The sequence below is a fragment of the Homo sapiens genome, chromosome 11 (assembly GCF_000001405.40).
Source record: "Homo sapiens chromosome 11, GRCh38.p14 Primary Assembly".
Taxonomy (NCBI): domain Eukaryota; kingdom Metazoa; phylum Chordata; class Mammalia; order Primates; family Hominidae; genus Homo; species Homo sapiens.
Window position 1 is genome coordinate 85,048,618 of NC_000011.10, and position 24,499 is coordinate 85,073,116.

At 34.3% G+C, this 24,499-nt stretch overlaps 1 protein-coding gene across 21 annotated transcripts in view, besides 1 other annotated feature; it reads right to left on the bottom strand.

Moving 5' to 3' along the window:
* Positions 1–24,499, bottom strand: part of DLG2 (discs large MAGUK scaffold protein 2) — a 2,173,362-nt gene that overhangs the window by 1,593,606 nt on the left and 555,257 nt on the right. The gene's annotated exons all lie outside the window — the stretch shown is intronic.
* Positions 14,354–14,413: an enhancer, noted in NCBI's record as "active region_5358". NCBI's record gives its function as "activates an Ori minimal core promoter by ATAC-STARR-seq in GM12878 lymphoblastoid cells {active_cell/tissue: GM12878}" and the evidence as "EXISTENCE:reporter gene assay evidence [ECO:0000049][PMID:35858748]".

A 24,499-nucleotide genomic window follows, 5' to 3' on the forward strand; every position in this document is an offset into this window, starting at 1 on the left:
TCCTATTATTTAGTTGAGCGATTCAATATCTGTGGCTTCAGTTTTGTCATCTGTAAAAATAGAGTCGGGACAATGTAAATTAGGGTCCATCAAAACAATGGGATTTTGTGAAGTCATTAAAATAATAAATGTGAATACTTCAACAGAATAGAAAGCAGATTTTTATGGGAGAAAATCAAGATTAAAAAATTACTTGCATACTTAAATTAAAACTATGCATAAATGCATTAACATGAACAACAATCTGAGAACATGGAGAAATGAATAATGTGTTCTTACGCTCTTTGTTATTTTTATATTGCCTAAAGTTCTTCCCTTTAGCCAGCAAAGTTAAATAAAGGGGTTAAGCTACTTTGATTAGCATTAAAATTCAATAACCCTATACCTCCATGATATGAATACATATGGTTGCTTTGTTCTTCAAGTACTTTGTATACATTCGTCATTCTCTATGAGTATATTGTGAGATTCCTAAAGAAGAAAACCATGAGTTTTACCCTTTCAATCTGCTGCACATAAAAACTCAGCACGTATGTCAAAGTTCATAGACTTAGGGATTCAGGACTTGCAAAATCCATCCTATAGTGAGTTAAATTATTTCCAGTCTCGTGGTACCAATTATATCGTATATCAGAACTCAGCTCATAAGCCCCCTTGGCAAAAGGAATTAGTAGATTTTAGGAGTATTTAAAAAATTTGTATCTTCCTAAATAGACTATTTCCGTGAGGGTAAAGATCTATCTGCTGTGTTGGTCATCCTATCTCTAGCACCTAGCACTATGTCTGCAATATGGAAGACTGGCCACAAGTATTTGCTATATCATTAGATAAAAATTCCTCAATCTGAACATTATTGACATTTTATTTTTTGTTGGAGGGGCTGTACACTGTAGGATGTTTAGCAGAATCTCTGGCCTCTACACACTAGATGCCAGTAATTATCTGCACTAGGTTCTCAATAAACATGTGATAATAGCTGAAATTGCTCAAAATTATTTTTAGTTGTAGTACATAATTGGTAGCAGAAATGCTGCTGATACTTTCTCATGGCACAGAATGTTAGGAAATATAAACCGGGACGTAAGTGAATATTCTTTACAAGAACTATTACCATCAGTAATGTAAGAATCTACCAAACACCCAGAGTTTAAAGAGTTCTAGGAAAGCTTTCCAGCATATAAAGAGATGTAAGGTTTATAACCAAAACTTAGGGGGTAAAATGATGGGGAAAATATAGTTAGAAGAAAGCTAGTTACATCAAAACAAAAAGTCATTAATTCGCTAATATCTAATATATTGCCAGATTTCTCATTCCCTTTCCAATAATTTACCTAATTTGAACCTATACATCTATGATGGGAATCTCTAGCTATCAGAAATTGTTAGGAGACCCTCTTCACCTTGGCTAGATGTCCAGTCTTTCCAATTGTCAGAACCCACAATGCTTACATTCTGAAGGAACTCCAACCTTCCCAGGAAGAGAACTGACCCACTGTGTCATCACACACACACACACACACACACACACACACACACACTGCACACATACATCTTCTGAACTGAGGGTAAAAAGGTTCATGAAGTCTTTAGTGGGAACAAAGAAGGAATTAAAAATGTACACTAAAAAATTCCTAATAGGCTGCTGTCCTATGTCTTTGCTTGCCCTCTTACTCTAATTACCTCGGCTAGACCACATAGAAGAAAATATAAAAAAGAATCCTTTCTAAAAGCAGAAAACAGTACTTGGCCTAAAGAACAAGACTTTGTCTTTCGTTTCTTTAGGCCTTACCTAGGCTTTCCAAAGAAAGCATCACCAAGATCCCAAGAAAATATCACCTCCAGCTTGAAGTTTCACTACCGTAAATGCAGGAAGAAAGGAACAAACAGGAAGACAATGGCATTTCCAATGCCTTCTCATTCCACTCCTCTCATGATAGGTTTCAAAACTTCCCTCAAGAAAGTGGCCAGAGTTTTGTTCAATGTTGGACGAGTACATGTTAGAGATGTCTTTTCTGAGCCCTCCTCTCAGAGAAGGCTGGTTTAAGACAAGAAAAAATCAAAGATATTTAATGAACAGAAGATTTATATAAAACGATGTGATTTGTTATGCACTTAATATATTTTATGTCAAACTTGATTACCACTCAATTTCTATGTGGATTTCAAAGTCAGATTCTTTCAATCATGTCTCAATGTATAAAACCTACTCATGCTTTTTTAATCTCAACAAATTTGTGATTTGCTGGGCACTCAGTCTCTGTTTGCTCTGCATTAGCATTATTGTAAGGCTTAATAGATTTCCCTTTTTCGTCTAGCTGGGTCTGAGTACCCAGTTAAAGCCTCAAGCCACTAGTGGCATCATTAATGCCACAATGATTAAGCGAGACAGCCAAGCGCCAGTGCACCATGAAGAACAACAGATTTCAAAGTCATCAAGTCTGAAGCATTGTCATGCTTCTTAAACAGGGTAAAATGCATTAAGTTCCTATTATTTTCACATTCTTCAGGTAAATGAAGAGGGTTGTTTCTAGCCTGTCAATAGTGCCTCAGAACTTTAACTAGATGTTAGGACACAATGATGTATAATCATCACATTCTTACCAGTTTCAGTCCAGCAGTATTGACTTAACTCTACTGGAAGAAATATATACTTGCAGTAAAAGCAGGCATGTTTATTCTAACTCTGTAAGAAGATAGACCATTGGCATTCCCCCAAAATTTGCTTGATTACTTATCAAATTATTCAAATTTGCAGAGATATATACTATATAAATTCCCTCCCCAAGAAATGAAATATAAATTTAAAATGTAAGTTCTTTCATTAATTTATCAATTCACTCATTCTACAAGTTGTATTCAGGTTTAACTACGTGCCAAGCACTATGCTAAGGGCTGGGAATATATTAATAAACAAAACAGACACAGTTTCTGCTCTTGTGCTAGCAGAGAAAACAGATATTGAAAAAAATATTACATATGTGATGAATATTAGAAGGAGGCGTGGAAAATGTTTGAATACATTTATAGTGCGGAGTTGTGAAAAACTATGACTAAGAAATTAGACCTTAATCCCAAAATTTAGCAGCTGTATAACCTTGGCTAGTCACTCAAAGTCTCATTTTTTCTAGTCTTTAAAATAGAGTTAATTATCTAATTATATCTTCCTCAGAGGGTGTGGTAAAAGTAAAGTATAAATTAAATTGCATGCAAAAGCACCCAGGATAGACTTGGCACAAAACACGCACCTAGTAAGTGATAATAGACCCTCAAGCCATCTGATAAGTCATGCTTTTTGAGTGTCGTTTGAAAATGTAGTAGCTTTTGTGCTGTAGGTCTTATCAATCAAAGTGATTAGTAGGTAATGTATTTAAAATTCTAAATAATGATAAAATAGCTAGAAAGACACTTCTCAGCAAGATAAATTTTTAAAAGAATGGCTAGAAAATTTCTCTTTTGGATCAAGAAGAAAAGACTGAGCATATTTGCTCCAAGAATGAAAATCAATATGCAAGAAAAGTGAAGAGAATGTTCTCTAATGTTGAAAATGTCATTATAAAGGGCAAGGAGGTATAATGAAGGTTCCTAGGTGACAAAAATCAGACGAGCATGGGAAAGTTTGGATAAATGAACAAACATCATCGTTGGGAGTTCATAGTCTATTTCTAAATAAGAAAATTCCATTCTGTAATATCAAACTGAATTCTTACTACTCACGAAGTGGTTGTCTTTGAAATCAAAGTAGTCCCTTTGTTTAAAACTTAAAACTCATAAAATTTAAATATTAACTGACAAAAGAATTTCAGGAGAGAATAGAGGTTTTCATAAAGGGCCAAACATTTTGCATTATATACCTTGAAAACTGTGAGCCACATTTGTTCTATTTTAACAACATAAGCAAAACAGAAACTTGGTAATGAATTTATAAGATATAGCAGTGAATGTTTTGATCTACTTATAATTACTTCACTGTTGTTAAAAGGATTTGGCAATGTAATGACTGATATAAGCACTAGAGTCATTAACATGTATTTACTGGTATGCAAATTGGTTGCCAAAGGAAACATCTTTGTATCTTTACCTTGTGTTGCTATGCACAATTTTAAAAAGAAGAGAAAAATATGCAAGCCTTCCCGTTATTTTATCAATTTGGGAAGGTCTAAGAATCACAACATTGGAAGCATCCTTAGAAATGCACTTGCTTTTGTTGCCTGTGAACTGGCAGGAAAATGGAAATTCTTCAGACCCTCCTCATTGTATAGTTCTGTGTTTAGTCATCTTTGGAGCTCAGAATCATTTCACTGTTCCTAGCTAAAGCCTTTCTTAAATCAATTTATTTACTACTCTATACGCTACTTGCCCTATTGTTTCCACTACATTACGCTTTTTAAATTTTTTTCTACATTGTCATATCTGCTCTAGTTTGGCTTTTATTCTATCACAAGTAAAGGAATGAATCTGGGGCCTGAACTCTGGTTCCAATGCAGTGACATCCTAGCTAATCGACTATAAGGAAGGCACTTCACCTCTATGGCCTCAGTTTTCTCTCTGTAAATTGACAAAAATTGAACTAAATTATCATTGAATTACCTTCCAGCCCTGCCATTCCATGATTTCCATAAAGGTTGATGAGGTGCCATCTGCTTTAGGAGGAAAAAAACACTAAAGAAAAAGATTCAGAATGTAGTGTGGGGTCTGCCAACTTGGGAAACCATGTTACCTCTCTGAGACTAATTTGTGTCATCTGTCAACTAGGCATAATTATACCTTCCCTGTCTACCACATAAGATGACTGATCCAGTGAGGTGAAGATACAGGTTAGCATATAGTATAAACTTTATCCTTACTAATCTCTTAAAACCTGGCAGACAGGAAAAAATATAGTGAGTACAGGCCGGGCGTGGTGGCTCACGCCTGTAATCCCAGCACTTTGGGAGGCCTAGGTGGGTGGATCACAAGGTCAGGAGATCGAGACCATCCTGCCTAACACGGTGAAACCCCATCTCTACTAAAAATACAAAAAAAAAAAAAAAAAAAATTAGCCTGGCGTGGTGGTGGGCGCCTGTAGTCCCAGCTACTCGGGAGGCTGAGATAGGAGAATGGCGTGAACCCAGGAGGCAGAGCTTGAACCGAGATGGTGCCACTGCACTCCAGCCTGGGCGACAGAGCAAGACTCTGTCTCAAAAAAAAAAAAAAAAAAAAAAAATTCATGGTGAGTACAAAAGTCCTCATGGCCTAAAGTGTAGAACTTAGAGAAAAGTACAAAAATATGGGTCAATTAACTAATGAAATAGTGATTCATTTATCTTCCTAGTAACGAACATATGAAAAAATTCTCTACATCAGTAATCATCAGAGAAATGCCAATCAGGCCAGGCACGGTGGCTCAGGCCTGTAATCCCAGAGCTTTGGGAGGCTGAGGCGGGTGGATCACAACGTCAGGAGATCGAGACCAGCCTAACCAACATGGTGAAACCACATCTCTAATAAAAATACAAAATTTAGCTGGGTGTGCTGGTGCATGCCTGTAACCCCAGATACTGGGGAGGCTGAGGCACGAGAATCGCTTAAACCCAGGTGGCAGAGATTGCAGTGAGCCGAGATCATACCACTGCACTCCAGCCTGGCGACAGAACGAGATTCCACCTAAAAAAAAAAAAAAGAAAGAAAAGAAAAAAAGAAATGCAAATCAAAATCACAATGAAATACTATCTCATACCAGTCAGAATGGCTATTATTAAAAAGTCAAAAAACAACAGACACTGACAAGGTTGCAGCATAAAGGAAATGCTTATACACTGCTCGTGAGAATGTAAATGAATTCAGCCACTGTGGAAAGCAGTGTGGAAATTTCTCAAAAAACTTTAAACACAACTACCATTTAACCCAGCAGTCCCATTACTTGGTGTATACCCAAAAGAAAACAAATTGTTCTACCAAAATATGCACTTGTACATTCACAGCAGCACTATTTGTAACAGCAGGTGTGAAATCAACCTAGTGCTCACCAACAGTGGGTTGGATAAAGACAATGTGCTACATGCACACCATGGAATACTACACATCCACAGAAAAAAACAAAATCATGTCCTTTGCAGCAACACGGATGCAGCTAGAGACCATTATCCTAAGTAAATTAACACAGGAACAGAAAAACAAATACTGCATATTCTCATTTATAAGTGGGAGCTAAAGACTGGGCACTTGTAGACTTAAAAATGCCAATAATAGACACTGAGGACTACTAGACAGGGAGCAGGGGAGATAAGGGTTGAAAAACTAACTGTTTAGTACTAACCTCAGTACTGGGGTGATGGAATCATTCATACCCAGTACGAACGCAGCATCATGCAATATACCCATGTAACAAACCTGCATGTGTAACCCTGAATCTAAAATAAAAGATTAAAAATAAAAACAATCTAAATTTGGCAGCACAATATTTAGAATAAAGAACAATGGACTGGATTCTAACACTATTTCTGTCATTAATTAGATGAATGAGTGACTTCAGACAAATTTGTCAAATAAAGATGCTCAAATGGACACAATCATATAAAAAATTTCTGCATTATAACTTTTCTTTTGGAATACAGATTTTTAAAATTAATGAGAGAAGAACAAACCAGACAAAGAGAGAGAGAGAAATTGAGGGAGAGAAAATTTCCACTTTGACTATGATAAACTAATTTATAACATTCTCTTGCTAAGAACAACTCAAAAGGATGGATTATAAAAAATATTTGAAGTCATAAACAAGTCACGAAGTCAGCCAGGACTTATGGGTCCAAGATCCCTGAGAGAAGAAAATTCATGAGGAAAGGTACTCAACACATCTTTTCCCCTCAGCTCATTTTCCTGTTAGAAGCTAGTGCTAAGCAAGAGACTGTGAAGCTGAACAGAGAGCTGACAGAGCTTTTGGCAGTCTCAATGGACTGGGGAAACAAAAATTAGGGTTCAGGGTTGAAAAGGACTCTATGACTTGATAATTCAAGATTTTGCAGTGACAAAAAGTACAAAGAAATGAATCCAACACTATGTGCTGTTTATTTTTCTCAAAGCAATAGTCAATTCATTAGCAAAGTGGGGAAGGAGACTATGAAGTTGGGAAGAAGGAAGTCTCTGAGAAGCTAAGAACTTTCAACAATCACACGATGCTGGAGAGTAAAAAAATGGGTTCAGGGCCCACCAATAAGGAATTAACTTGGTAAACATCTAAGGGTTAAGGCAGAGATAGGGTTAGGGTTAAGGTTGGGGATAGATATAGGGGAACAAACTAAAAATAGAACTTGCTCATAAAAACTGAAACATTGTGCTTGATCCAGCCCAGCCCATAGTTACATTAAAGTGATATCCCTGTACTCTAGCTGCACTTAATTTCTTTTCCTCTTTTTTTAAGTAAAACCTCTCCAAAGAGAGATAACATTCAGATTATCTACAATTTTTCATATATAATAACTGTCATTCAATAAAAATCAGCTATCCAAGAAATAATAAAAGAAAAAACAGAACAGAGTTGCCATTGATACAGATATTAGAGTTATTAGAAAAGATCTTTGAAATAACCATAATCGACATGGTTCAGAAAATAAATGGCATCCCTAAGATATGGGTACTTTTCTGTATAGATGTTATCCTTCACTAAAAAGTTTATTCTTAAATTTTAAGATGTAGAAAGTAGCAAATTTCTCCAGAAAACTATATCTTTGAAAAAGAATCAATGAAAATTCAAAAACTAAAAAATTCAATAAGTGAAATTCAGAATTCAATAGGGGAATTTAAAAATGAATATGTTTCAGCAGAAGAGAGTGGCAGTAAACCAGAAGAAATGTTAATTAATAGATCCAAGCACTAAAAGATTAAAAATTATTTTACAATGCCATAAAAGACATATACATCATTATACAAATAACGAAGTGTGTGTCAATGGACTCTGAGTATTGAAAGAGAGAGAATGTAGCAGAAGCATTATATGATGTATAATGATCAGTACATTTTCAAAACTGACAAGAAAAAAAGCTACAGATTCAAGAAGTGCTGCAAATCCCAAGTAGGGAAAGTACAAAGAAAACACACCAAAACATACAATAATCAAATTGCTGAAAACCAATGACAGAGACTGACTCTTAAAAGCAGACATTAATTATAAAGAAGCAAAGATAACACTGGCAGCAATAATGAAAGCCATAGGCATTTTTAATGTACTGACTGCCTAACTTGAATTTTATATTCACTGAAAATACAATTCAAAAACGTAGGCAAAATAAAAACACTTTCATCAAACAAAAAACAATGAATACACCAGCAGATCTATATTTTAAAAAATACTAAAGAGAGTACTTCAGGTAGAAGGAAAATGATACTGGAAGGAAGCAGAAACATACAGAAAGGATTGGAGGGCCAAAAATAGGGTCAATATATGGGTAAGTCTAAGTGAATATTGGCTATGCAGTCCTTAGAAGAAATTTGTAGCTATTATATAGCTTGTAATACATATATTTTTAAAAGGAGAATATCTAGAAATCAAAGTTTCCATCTCAGGAAGCAGTAAAAGTAAATAAAATAAAGCCCGGATATAGTTGAAGGAAGAAGATAATTAAGATGAAAATCAGTAACAAATAATATATAAATGTAAAATTGGAATTGCTTAGCTATTAGAAAAGGCTTTAAAATGATAACCATCTATTATAAATGATCAAGAAGAGAAATGGGACAAGTTACTAATATTAGGAGTAAAAAATAAAACATCACTTCAGATCTTACCAAAGACAATATAAACAACTTTATGCCAATTAAAGCTAAAAATTTAGTTGAAATGGAGAAAGCCTAGCTGCAAAATAACTTACCAAAACCAATACAAGAGTAAATTTTCTAATCTCTGATAAATAAATTGAATTACTAATTTAAAACCTTTACAGAAGGAAATATCAAGCCCAAAGACTTCAGAGGTGAATTATTCCAAATATTAAAATAATAATGTTAATCTAAAACAAACTCTTCCAGAGAACAGCAAAAGATAAATCATTTCCCAATTTCTTTTAAGGCCAGCGTATTTTTGATTTTAAAAAACACAAAAACAGTATAGGAAAGGAAAATTACAGGCCAATCTTTCTCATTAGCATGAAAGCAAAAAAAAGTAAAACAGCTACATATGAAAAGAATAACACCACATAATTTAAACTTTCAAAAATCAGCCAACACAATTCACCACATTAAGAGACAAAAAGGAAAAAAAATATGGTAATTTTAATAGATACAGAAAATATACTTTATAAAGTTCAACACTTATTTTTAAAAATCATAGCAAACTAAGAACAAAAGGGAATGACTTTAAACTGAAAAACACTTTTGAAACATTATATTAATGTGAAATATTAGAATATTCTTGTTTAATATTAGAATGCCAGCTATCATCATGTCTATTCAATACAATACTGGAGATTTTAGCCAGGAAAATAAGAAAAGAAAAAAATTAGAAGAGACCAAATAAAACTATCAATATTCTCAATTAATTCAAATTATTTACATAGTAAATCCAAAAGAATCTATAGACGAAGCATTAGAAATGTAAGTGAATTTAGCAAGTTGTCTACATACAATGTCAATATATAAAAATCAATTGCATTTCTTTAAATATATCACCAACAATTGAAAAATAAAATTTAAAAATGATACAGTTTTTATCAACATATAGCACCTCTGAACGAGTAAATGTAATGAGATGTTCAAGAATTCTACACAGTGAATTATAAAGTATTGAAAGAAATTAAAGAAGACAAATAAATATATGTACACATATATATCATGCCATTAAATTATAAGCTCAAAGTTTTAAGAACATAAATCCTTCTCAAGTTGGCCCACAGATTCAATGAATTCACAACCAAAATCGCATAAAGGACATCTGTGGAAATTGACAAGTTGATTCCGAAATGTATATGGAAATGCAAATATACAAGAATTGCTATGAAAATTGTGTAGAAATATCAAATTGTAGGACTTACACTACCAGATATTAAAACCTTATGTACAGTAATTAAGATAGTGCTCAGTTTGCATAAGGACAAATAGACCAGGTATTTGAATAGGGTTTAAAAATAGGCCCACTGATATAAGGTTACTTAATATACATCAAAGGTATACTATAATTAAATGGGGGAAAAGGTGTTCTTATCAACAAATAATTAATTATATATCCATATGAGGGAAAATGAATTGTGACCCCTTACCTCATACTATACACAAAATCAATTCCAAGTCAATTTAGATCTAAATGTGAAAAATTCTAAGAGAGAACATAAAAAATATTTTAACAAACTTGGAGTCTGCATAGATTTCCTAAAAAGGACACAAAAGGCACTTTATCATTTCATAAAGAAAAAGAATGATAAATTGGACAAAATTAAAAGTAATAACTTTAGTTCAAAAGTCGCCGTTAGAAAAAGGAAAATGCAAGAAAAAGAGTGAAATAAAATGTTTGGAATACATACATCCAAAATAGGACTCATATTCAGAATACATATAAATCAGTAAAATAAATAAGATAAAAGAAAACCCAGACCGATAAATATATAGAAAGATCCTCAAGCTTCTTAATGAGAGAAATACAAAATTGAAATTACAATATTTCTATGGACCTAACAAAGTAGCTACTGAAAAAAAAAATGTAGAGCAGCTGGAAGTAACATACATTGCTGGTGGGAGTATAGATTTGTATAATCACTTTGGAAAACTCTATAAAATTTTCTACTACAGTTAAACATATGCTTATTCTAAGATCTAGCAATTGTACTACCAGTTGAATAAATGAAGGCATATCACACCCAAAGTTTACAAAAATGTTCTTACCAGATTTAGTCATAATAGCCTGAAACTGGAAAGCAAACTAATATCCATCAACATCAGAGTGAACAAATAGTGAGGTGTATTCGTACAATGGATCACCATATGGGAATGAAAAGGGATAAAGTGCAATAACAGTTTCCAAAAGACAAACTGCAACAACATAAATGAATCTTACAAATATAATTTTGAGTGAAATAAGCAAGGGGAAAAATAGTCTACGATTCTAGGCATATAAGTTTCACAGGTGTAACTAATTTGTCATGATAAAAGTCAGAGGAGTGGTTATTTTTGCAGTGTAACTGTTAGTGATTGACAAAGTCCACTAGGGATATCGATTTCTCTACCTGGGAAGTTGTGTTCACTTTGTGAAAATTCATCAAGCTATGCACCCTGTGAGCTTTTCTGCATTGATATTTTATTTCAATTTTAAAAGATACACTTGTATAAATACGTAAATATACTAGAGCATAGTGTTTTTTAATTGTAGTAAAATAAAAATAACATAAAATCTACCCTCTTAAATTTTTAAGTGTACAGTACTACATTATTAACTATAAGCACAATGCTGTACAGTAGATCTGTAGAACTTTTTCACCTTGCATGACAAACTTTACATCCATTAAAGAAAAACTCACCATTTCCCTCTCTCTCCAGCCCCTGGCAACCACCATTTTACTTTCTGTTTCAGTGAGTTTGGCGACTTTAGACACTTCACATAACTGGAATTATGCAGTATTTGTCCCATCACTGGCTTATTTCACTTAGTATAATGTCCTAAAGGTTTATCTTTGTTGTACATATTGTAGCATATGACAAGATTTTCATTTTTTAAAGGCTAAGTATATGTATATAATATATAACATAAGCATATTATATACATATATGTATATATAATGTTATAAATGAATCTCATAATACATCACAAGATGTTATATATACATAACATTATATATGTGTGTGTATATATATGTGTATATATATACACGCATATGCATATGTGTGTGTGTGTATATATATGTGTATATATATATACACGCATATGTATATGTGTGTGTGTGTATACATGTATTTATATATACACGCGTACATATATATAACATTTTCTTTATCCCAACACCCCCAATGGACATTTAGGTTGTTTCTACCTCATAGATATTGTGAATAATGCTGCATTGAATGCAGAAATGCAAATATCTCTTTAAGATCCACATTTCAAATTCTTTTGGATAAATACACAGACGTGAGATTGGTGGGTCATATGAAAATTAAATTTTTTATTTTTTTATGAACTCAAAACTGTTTTCCGTGGCAGGTTCACTATCTTACATTCCCAGAAACAGTGTATAAGGGTTCTAATTTCTCCACATCCTTCTCAACACTTGTTATCTTCTGGGTTTTTCTTTTTTTGTTGTTTTTTTTTGTTTGTTTTGTTTTTGGTTTTGCTTTTTTGTTTTGTTTTTTAATGGTCATCTTAACAAGTGTGAAGTGATATCTCCTTGTGGTTTTGACTTGCATTTCGCTGATGGTTAGTGATGTTGAGCATCTTTTCATATACCTGTTGGCCATTTGTATGCCTTCTATGGAGAAATGTCTACTCAAATCCTTTGTCCATTTTTTAATTTTTTTGCTTTTGAGTTATAGAAGTTCCTTATATATTCCGAATATTAACTCTTTACAAGTGATGTGATTTGTAGATATTTTCTCCCATTCCATAGGTTGCCTTTTCACTCTGTTGTTTCCTTTGCTGTGCAGAAGCTTTATAGTTTGATATAGTCCCACTTGTCAATTTTTGTTTTTGTAGCCTGTGCTTTATTTTTTTAATTGAAATTTCTATCTGAGTTATTCTGACTTCACTCTTTCTGCACTGGCATCTTTTTTTCTACAAATTATTTCAAGAATACATACACGATTTGAACTATTCTGCTGTTTTTTGCTTAGATATTATTTGGCCTAGATGAGTTACAGAAACAAAATTTGCAACTTGAATTTCTCAGTCGCTGCAACAAATGTGCTGCTTCTGAAGGCATATCCCTCAGGAGGCAAGTATCATATAGTTTGAAGGGATGTGTCAGTCAAGGCTCAAAAAAATAATGCTGTAAAAACTGAGGAAATTTAGTATTATACTAAAGCTGATGGTTAAGATGTAAATATTTTATTTTTGTCCTTCCCAGAAACACATACATAATTTTAAACTTCTCTAAAATGAACACTATTGGCCAAATCCTAAGAAATTGTGAACGACAAATTCCATCACTAAGTTATCCCATATATGTGTACTGTATTTTTCTCATTTTTATTTTAGTGAATAGAAATGTTAGAAAGTCTATCAAAATAACCAAAATATACAAAATAACTAAGGATTGACCCCATTAACTTTGCCAACAGTCTTGCTCTCTGAGTGTTACTGAAGATCATTCTATCTTGCACAATTCAGGCAAGCACTCCAATTCTTCAGTCACTTTACTCCTAACATACCATGTGACTCTAGAAATTTCCCCCAGCCCATTTTACACTCGCATGGCTCAGTTGAAAAATTTGAGGTTAACACAACCAGAAGATTGAAGATGAACATAATTTATAAAAAGAGGGGTCACTTTGGAAGTTATAGTAAATAGGCAAGGGTTTCTCATTATTATACTGATAAAATCTAAAGCTAGGCCTCTTTCATTTTGGTTATCTGAAATTGAACAGAGCTTATATTCTATATACTTATAATGCTCTCTGAGCAATTCAGAAAAAAAGGAGGCTCTTTTATGCTATGAAGAAAAGTACAGTTTGACATTTATGGGTAAAAAATTATATCAATGCAATAGTTGAAAAAATGTAGGGGAAAGCTTAGATTTAATTTGTGTTTGATCATTGCATTCCAGGTAAAAATTTCATATAAAAATATTTTATTTGTAATAGATAGACTTTAAACACTTATCTGCAAATCTGGGCTCATGGTTCCTACTTTGCCCAAGAGAGAGGGTTGTTAAGAAGATAATAAATATTACAGGTAACATTTATTGAAAAGTCATTAAATGCAAACATTGTGTTAAATATTTTATCTTTATAAGATAGGTAGTATCACAGACAAATGAAAAAAAAAAACTGACAGGAAAGATAAGTTTTTACCATAGGTCATACAGCTTGTTAGGGCAAAGAAAGACTTTTAAATAATGTTTGTTTTATTTGCAAATTCATGTTATTAACTTACCTCACAGAGATCTAGTAAGATAATAGAAATGAGTGCTTTAAAAGTTATATGTCACTAAACTTCAGTTAGTAAACTAACTGAAGAGGCAGATCTGAAACTAAAATGGGCATTTTGCATGTATCTGCTTTTGAAGCCTCTGAAACCAGAAGACTAAAAGAGAGTTAGTACTCATCACAACTAGGTTGTGGTTTTTGAAATGAATAATCAACATAACAGAGAAATAAGCACACTAAGCAGTATACAACATTTTTACAATTGTTAAAATGCCTCTGCCAGCAGAGGTGGGGATGACTGGTATAACATCCTGAAATGCATGTACATATAGTATGTGCATATTGTCAAAATTCTAAATGTAGTGCTAAAGTACTAAGACGGTGATAACTTAACAAAATCTTATATTAAAGATTTTGTAGTGGGTACTGAGTTTACTGCACAGATTCCCCGCTTCAGGGTCAAAGCGCTCATTCTCGCAGCTGTTAGGAGTGTTAGCCGCTAAGGCTTACCATCTCTTGGAAGTTGCCTTGACCAAAATTACTTCATTTCTTCACTAGGGCAAACTGCATCCAATGATCCCCATAGGATCAGCTGAGGCCTCTGTTGAGTGTTCTCTAATAAGTTCTTGCATACAAATCTCAGAGTTTTGAGTCTGTTTTCTGGGGAGCCTGGCCTGCAACAATGATTAATCCCAAATTCTCTCATAGTCCACTGCATATGGTTCTTGCTATTATTACAAAAGATGTACTTTTTTCTATTTTCCCAATATCAAGTAATGGAGCAGTAAATCTTCTACACAGAACTGACATTACTTTATGGGGCTCCTAGAAATTTTATATAGAGTCTGTACGTAACAAGGCAATCACAGTGAAAAACGGTACACCTTATGACTAAAAGACTTTTAAAGACTTATATGGTTATTGGCTTAGGAGATTTCTTTCTACAAAACAAAAGTTTTAAGTTATAAAGCATAGACTTAAGTAGAAATGTGCTGTATTTCCCTCTAACTTGCGTGCAGCTAAATGAGTTTTTTTTCCCATTCTTTCTTGAATAAAATATAAAATCTAGGCTGTAAAATGGAAATAACCCCTGCTGCTTTATAAATCTATAAAAAGTCATTTGATAAGAAGCAATGATTTGTAGTACTTGTGGGATAATTTATATCAAATGGTACCAGAAACTTCACTTCAACAAAAATTTGACATTTATTAACCATCTATTATATGCAAGGCACTCATCTGGGTTCTGTGGTGACAAATAAGGCGATATTAGACTAAATACTTGTTGACTCAGTTGCCACTATTCCTTTCCTTCAGGATCCCATAATTTAGTTGAGAAAAAAGGGAAAATAAAAAATAACACAAATACAAGGCAAGCAGTTATTAAATCCATGGGTATGTTTGTTAAAAAACAAATACGAGGACAAAACTGAATGTCTGTCATATAATTAATATGTTTGTTTGCATATATCCAAGAAGCAGGAATACATCATAACCAAGAAATAATACCAAATATTTTCAGAGGATCTGTCCAGCCTGAATGTTAAAAGTGAAGAAACCATGCTATCACTGAGCTTATATTATAAAAACATTTTATCTTTTCAAAAATGTTCTAATAAATTCTATTCAATTCTAGGTACAAGAAGCTAGAGAGGCTTATGAATGAATACACTGAAAGGTCACTATAAAATGCACATTTGCCTATATATAAAATCATCATATTGCACATCAGACCTACTCCTTGTTCTCCTTTTCCTCTCAGTACGTGGCAGCAGTAATTGTTCAAGCTAAAAATCTGGAAATCAACTCTGACACTTTTCTATACCTCGCCACTTACATATAAACAAATCAATCTAATATACAGTATAACCTATTTTATCTCCTAATTATACATTTTCAAAAGGGATTATACCATCCCCTAGGGAGTGAAAATTGATTATGTAGGAAAGGGGTGCGATAGTTAGTTTTATCTCAACTTGGCTAAGCTGTGGTACCAAGCTGTTTGGTCAAACACTATTTGAGATGTTGCTTTGAAGGTATTTTTTACATATGATTAGCATTCAGAATCAGTTAACTCTAATTAAAACAGATTACCCTTCATAATATGGATGGGTCTTATCCAATTAATTAAAGGCCTTAAGAGCAAAGACTGAGGATCCCCAAAGAAGAGAGAATTCTATCTCAAGATTATAACATACAAATTCTGCCTTAGTTTCCACCCTTCCAGCCTCTCTCTCTTTCTCTCTCTCTCTCTTTCTCTCCTTCCCCACCCCACGTTTGACAAGCACAAAGGTGAAAAATATTTTTATGTATAAAGTACCGATATAGGTACTTTACATAAAGAGATAAGTAGTATATCTGTGGTATAAAAATTTCAAGAGGGGTGGAGTCAATTAGTACAAAAGTTTCTAAAAAGTCTCCTGGTCTCTGGGCAGTGGAGAGGGGTGGGAGGAGTAGATAATAAAAAATGGTGAAGAAACACTGTTCTAAACATTTCTTTAGTATTAGTATGTCCTCTACTGTGTATCTTTTGAACACTACCCTAGAATAGTCCACTATTTATTATTAGAAATATTGCTTCTAAAAGGGCTCTCTGTGGAGCTATCTTAATCCCCCATAAATGCATCTTCCACATTGTCTACCTAGTCTATGTAAAATGCAAATTTGACTATGTTACTCCTTTTTTTTAAAACCCCTTGATGGCTCCAGGTTTGGGAATCTCTCATTTCTCCTCCACTAGAAACCCACAGGCATGGTAAGAGTCTTCATCATTTCACAGAGGAGGATACTAAGATCCAGTTAGGTATAATGATTTCCCCAAGTTGCACAATTAAATAAAGGCAAATTCCGGATTTAAAACCAGGTTTCACAATCTACATATCCAGCTTTTTTTAAATTTTAATTTTATTAAAAATTTTTTTTATTATACTTTAAGTTCTGGGATAAAATAACATATCAGGCATTTTATTGGACCACAGTGGAATAAAGCTAGAAATTAATACCAAGAGGAACTCTCAAAAGTATAAAAATACATGGAAATTAAACAATCTGCTCCTGAATAATCTTTGGGTGAACAATGAAATTAAGGTGGAAATTTAAAAAATATATATTAAAGAAATAAAAATAGAGATAAAATATACCCAAATCTCTGGGGTACAGAAAAAGCAGTGCTAAGAGAAAAGTTTATGGTGTTAAATGCCTATGTAAAAAAAATAGAAAGATCTCAAATTAACGATTTAACATCACACCTCAAAGAACTAAAAAAAGGAATAAACCAAACCCAAAGCTAGCTTAAGAAAGAATAAAGATCAGAGCAGAACTAAACAAAAGTGAGATAATAAATGCAATACAACTTTTCACAAAATGAAAAGTGGGTTCTTTGAAAAGATAAACAAAATAGCCAGATTAACTGAGAAGGAAACACAGAATTTTCAAATAAGCAAAATCAGAAATGATAAAGGTGACATCACAACTAATAACTCAGAAATAGAAAAGATTATCAGAGACTACTATGAGCATCTCTATGAACAAATACTAGTAAAGCCAGAAAAGATGAACAAATTCCTGGAAACAAACAACCTCCCAAGAATGACCAGGAAGAAATATAAATCCTAAGGAGATCAAGAGCCAGTAGTGAAATTAAATTAGCAATAAAAAACTCCCCTCCCAAAAAAGACCAGTGACAGAGGGATTCATAGCTGAATTTTACCAGATGTACAAAAGACAGTGGTACAAACGCTATTGAAATTGTTCCAAAAATCAAGGGGGAGAGAATCCTCCCTGACTCATTCTACAAAGCCAGTATCACTCTGATGACAAAGACAGGCAAGAACACAACAACAACAAAAAATTATAGGCCAATATACCTGAAGATAGAGGCAAAAATTCTCAACAAAATACTAGCAAATTGAATCCAACAGCAAATTAAAAAGATAATACACCATGACCAATTGGGTTTTATCCAGGGATGTAAGGGTAGTTCAACATACAGAAATCAATAAATGTGATTCACCACATAAACAAAGTTAATAAAAAAAACTATATGATTATATCAACAGACACCGAAAAAGCATTCAATAGAATTCAATATCCTATCATAATAAAAATCATCAACAAACTTAGCATCAAAAAACGAGCTTCAAGACAATAAAAGCCATATACAACAAACCTACAGACAACATGGGGAAAAGTTGAAAGCATTCTCCCTAAGAACTGGAACAAAACAAGGATGCTCACTTTTACCACTTCTATTTAACACAGTATTAGAAGTCCTAGTTAGAGCCATCAGGCAAGAAGAAGAAATAAAAGGGATCCAAATTAGAAAACGGGAAGTCAAATTTTTCTGTTCACTGATGATATGTGCCTATATCTAGAAGACAATCCCATTACTGAGTATATATCCAAAGGGAAAGAAATCACTACATTAAAAAGACCTGCACTCCAGGAATTCATCCATTTCTTCTAGATTTTCTAATTTATTTGAGGTGTTTATAGTATTCTCTGATGGTAGTTTGTATTTCTGTGGGATCAGTGGTGATATTCCCTTTATCATTTTTTATTGCGTCTATTTGATTCTTCTCTCCTTTCTTCTTTATTAGTCTTGCTAGCAGTCTATCAATTTTGTTGATCTTTCCAAAAAACCAGCTCCTGGATTCATTGATTTTTTGAAGGGTTTTTTGTGTCTCTATCTCCTTCAGTTCTGCTCTCATCTTAGTTATTTCTTGCCTTCTGCAAGCTTTTGAATGTGTTTGCACTTGCTTCTCTAGTTCTTTTAATTGTGATGTTAGGGCGTCAATTTTAGATCTTTCCTGCTTTCTCTTGTGGGTATTTAGTGCTATAAATTTCCCTCTACACACTGCTTTAAATGTGTCCCAGAGATTCTGGTATGTTGTGTCTTTGTTCTCATTGGTTTCACCCTCCCAAGACTAAACCAGGAAGAAGTTGAATCCCTGAATAGACCAATAAGAGGCTCTGAAATTGAGGCAATAATTAATAGCCGACCAATCAAAAAAAGTCCAGGACCAGATGGATTCACAGCCGAATTCTACCAGAGGTACAAGGAGGAGCTGGTACAAGGAGGAGGAGGAGTTTTCCTACTGAAATTATTCCAATCAATAGAAAAAGAGGGAATCCTCCCTAACTCATTTTATGAGGCCAGCATCATCCTGATACCAAAGCCTGGGAGAGACACAACAAAAAAAGAGAATTTTGGACCAATATCCCTGATGAACATCGATGCAAAAATCTCCAATAAAATACTGGCAAACCGAATATAGCAGCACATCAAAAAGCTTATCCACCATGATCAAGTGGGCTTCGTCCCTGGGACGCAAGGCTGTTTCAACATATGCAAATCAATAAACGTAACCCAGCATATAAACAGAACCAAAGACAAAAACCTCATGATTATCTCAATAGATGCAGAAAAGGCCTTTGACAAAATTCAACAGCCCTTCATTCTAAAAACTCTCAATCAATTAGGTATTGATGAGATGTATCTCAAAATAATAAGAGCTATTTATGACAAACCCACAGCCAATATCATACTGAATGGCAAAACCTGGAAGCATTCCCTTTGAAAACTGGCACAAGACAGGGATGCCCTCTCTCACCACTCCTATTCAACATTGTGTTGGAAGTTCTGGCCAGGGCAATCAGGCAGGAGAAGGAAATAAAGGGTATTCAATTAGGAAAAGATGAAGTCAAAGTGTCCCTGTTTGCAGATGACATGATTATATATGTAGGAAACCCCATAGTCTCAGCCCAAAATCTCCTTAAGCTGATAGGCAACTTCAGCAAAGTCTCAGGATACAAAATCAATGTGCAAAAATCACAAGCATTCTTATACACCAATAGCAGACAAACAGAGAGCCAAATCATGAGTGAACTCCCATTCACAACTGCTTCAAAGAGAATAAAATACCTAGGAATCCAACTTACAAGGGACGTGAAGGACCTCTTCAAGGAGAACTACAAACCACTGCTCAAGGAAATAAAAGAGGATACAAAGAAATGGAAGAACATTCCATGCTCATGGGTAGGAAGAATCAGTACTGTGAAAATGGCCATACAGCCCAAGGAAATTTACAGATTCAATGCCATCCCCATCAAGCTACCAATGACTTTCTTCACAGAATTGGAAAAAACTACTTTAAAGTTCATATGGAACCAAAAAAGAGACCGCATTGCCAAGAAAATCCTAAGCCAAAAGAACAAAGCTGGAGGCATCACTCTACCTGACTTCAAACTATACTACAAGGCTACAGTAACCAAAACAGCATGGTACTGGTACCAAAACAGAGATACAGAGCAATGGAACAGAACAGAGCCCTCAGAAATAATGCTGCATATCTACAACCATCTGATCTCTGACAAACCTGACAAAAACAAGAAATGGGGAAAGGATTCCCTATTTAATAAATGGTGCTTGGAAAACTGGCTAGCCATATGGAGAAAGCTGAAACTGGATCCCCTCCTTACACTTTATACAAAAATTAATTCAAGATGGATTAAAGACTTAAATGTTAGACCTAAAACCATAAAAATCCTAGAAGAAAACCTAGGCAATACCATTCAGGACATAGGCATGGGCAAGGACTTCATGTCTAAAACACCAAAAGCAATGGCAACAGAAGCCAAAATTGACAAATGGGATCTGATTAAACTAAAGAGCTTCTGCACAGCAAAAGAAACTACCATCAGAGTGAACAGGCAACCTACAGAATGGGAGAAAATTTTTGCAAGCTACGCATCTGACAAAGGGCTAATATCCAGAATCTACCAAGAACTCAAACAAACTTACAAGAAAAAAACAAACAACCCCATCAAAAAGTGGGCGAAGGATATGAACAGACACTTCTCAAAGGAAGACATTTATGCAGCCAAAAGACACATGAAAAAATGCTCATCATCACTGGCCATCAGAGAAATGCAAATCAAAACCACAATGAGATACCATCTCACAACCGTTAGAATGGCAATCATTAAAAATTCAGGAAATAACAGATGCTAGAGAGGATGTGGAGAAATAGGAACACTTTTACACTGTTGGTGGGACTGTAAACTAGTTTAACCATTGTGGAAGTCAGTGTGGCGATTCCTCAGGGATCTAGAACTAGAAATACCATTTGACCCAGCCATCCCATTACTGGGTACACACCCAAAGGATTATAAATCATGCTGCTATAAAGACACGTGCACACGTATGTTTATTGTGGCACTATTCACAATAGCAAAGACTTGGAACCAACCCAAGTGTCCATCAATGATAGACTGGATTAAGAAAATGTGGCACATATACACCATGGAATACTATGCAGCCATAAAAAATGATGAGTTCATGTCCTTTGTAGGGACATGGATGAAGCTGGAAACCATCATTCTCAGCAAACTATCGCAAGGACAAAAAACCAAACACCGCATGTTCTCACTCATAGGTGGGAATTGAACAATGAGAACACATGGACACAGGAAGGGGAACATCACACACCGGGGCCTGTCGTGGGGTGGGTGGAGAGGGGAGGGATAGCATTAGGAGATATACCTAATGTAAATGACGAGTTAATGGGTGCAGCACACCAACATGGCACATGTATACATATGTAACAAACCTGCATGTTGTGCACATGTACCCTAGAACTTAAAGTATAATAAAAAATAAATAAATAAATAAATAAATAAATAAATAAAAAGACCTACACTCTTATATTGACTGCAGCACTATTCACAATACCACAGATATGGAATCAACCTAAGTGTTTATCAGTAGATAATTGGAGAAAGAAACCGTGTGGAGAAAGAAAGAAAATATGAAAAACCTACTCGGTACATTCAGGTGACAGGTACTTAAAAGCCTAGACTTAACCAATGCACAATATATTCATGTAACAAAACTGCACTTGTATCCCCTAAATCTATAAAAATGTTTTAAAACTTTAAGAAGTATAAGCACTAAACCAAAAAGTAAGTCCCATAGCCTGTATCTAGGTACTGGAAATTGAACCCAGGTCTATTTTACTACAAAGACTGTGCTTCCTCACTACACTCTACTGTGCTATATATAATCACTTACCATCCACCCTCTGAAGAATGAATCCTCTCCCACCTTTTTCACAGAGCCTGTTCTGACTACTCTAGCCCAAGCCATCTTCTTTGTTCTAAAATCTCATAGCATTTTCAAATTTTGCTTTGTGAAATGTCTATAATGTTACAACTTTTACCTTCATGTTGGTACGTAGGTCCTTGTGAAGTTGTTTTCCTACTCAAAACCAGGTTGGAGAGGAGTACAAAATAGCAGTGAAGAGCTTGGACACTGGAGTCAGTCTGTCTGAGCTCAAATCCAAGCACAACTGATTTTTAATCTGTGTGACCTTGGGAAAACTACCTGATCTCTCTACGCCTCTGTTTCATCATTTGTAAAATGGACAATAGCGTTTAACACATAGAGTTGTTGGGAGGATTAAATGAATTCATCTATATAAAGCTATCAGAACACTGTCTAGCACATTAGTCATTTAACTACTGTGGACAGGAGTTTGCTATCTTCATTTTTTATAATACTCTTTCCAGACTTTGAAATTAAACCTTAGCGTTACGTCCATGGAAGCTCAAGGTAGATATGTAAAAGAACTTCCCATTAGGATGACGCAGTCACTGGGGTGGAGATTACCCTGGTTGCATAAGTTGACTCCAAGCCAACCCAGACAAAATGACCTAAAAGTAAAGCAGATTTGGCTGTGAATTATTAATAGTAAGAAAGGCTATTATAATGACCAAATGTGATGTGTAGAAAAACTACTTTATAGATAATAACATAAGTGAATGTTGATTATTATTTGAAAGCGACAATATGATAGGCATCTCAAGAACTGGATGCATCTTGTTCATATGGAATATAAACCTTACTTTCTCTGGAAATATGCAAGTGCTTCATTGATGACATCTGTGGACATGCCAAATCATTGTTATAAACTTTATGACAGCCAACTCCAAAAGAATTTATATGTTTCCACTAAATGAAAAAAATTCAAACATAAACTGATCCTTGTATCTTGAAAAAAATCAGGCACTCTAGGGAAGAAGCATGCCTTAAGGTCTAATTTCAAGAGCAATTTAAATTCTGGCGATTCATATGATTAGAATAAACTGGACCAAGCCTTGAAGCCAAAGAGTTCTTTAAGTATCCTTACATCTCTCTCTTGTGTTCAGAAATGGAAAACATTTCTCTAAAAATGCTTTTCTAAAAAGAAGCAAAAATCATCCTACCCAGTTTTTATGCAATCTACCAAACAGGTGAAAATTAACTTCTTCATACAATTCAGTCCATGCCGCAACACAAATGAAATGAGAACGCATTTAATCTTAGCATCCCTATGTCACTCAAAGGTAAAAATGTGAGCATTTGTAGATTGCAATAAAACATGAATACAAAATGATGTGTATTCCCTCTTCAGTTCATTGTCCTCATTGTTACAATTGTACCTGCTACAGAAACAAGAGCTTATTGTTCTCTTACATTCTAATTTTTACAATAGGCCATCTTATTTACTTCCCTTGTGCCTAAGGCAGTCCTTGGCATATAGCAGTCACTCGTAAATGTGGCTGAACCAGGGTATACAGCATCACCACCACTTCAATTCTTCCTGTGTCCATGGTTCTCACACTTAAGCATGTATAAATTCTTTGAGTCCTACTGTGAAAATTTTACTACGCTCACTCTCCCCTCAAAGAGATTCTGAATCAAGAGGTCTGGATTAGAACCCAGGGATATAAAACTTTAAACAAACATTCTAGGTGATCCAAATGCAGGCATTCAGCAACTATATTTTGAGAAACACTATCTTTTGGTTAATTTCTTAAGTATTGATGATAATGGCTAACATATATTTAACACACCCTCCTTGCCAAGGGCTTTAAATACATTTCGTCATTTAATTATCATGGCAGTCTATAAAACAGATTACTTTCATCACATTTTGCAATGAGGTAATTAGGACTTGGAGAGGTTAAGTAATTTGTCCTAGGTTACAGCACTAATGGAAGAGAAAGAATACAAACCCAAGTCTATGGGATTCCAAAGCCCATAATAAATACACTTGGTTGCAAAGAGTAGGCTGCATGGGCTGCCAACAGTTGTCTTTAGCAACATATCGGTAAATGCCATCTACAAATCTGGCTATGAAAATTGATCAGTCATTCAGATAAATGACATTTCATCATTTGATAGCATCAACAGATATTTTGGATGATGGGTCAAAAAGGTCTCACATCCCATCAGGCTACAAAACAACAACCTAATGCATTCAAAATGAGGCCATTCAGTTTTTAATGTCAAAAATAAGAGCTTTTATGTGGAATGACAAGGTATTTATTAGATACTAGTATTTGTATTCCATTAACTAAAATATGAAGAACAAAGATGGCCAAAACACATTTTATCATATTAAACATATTTCAAAATTTTAAA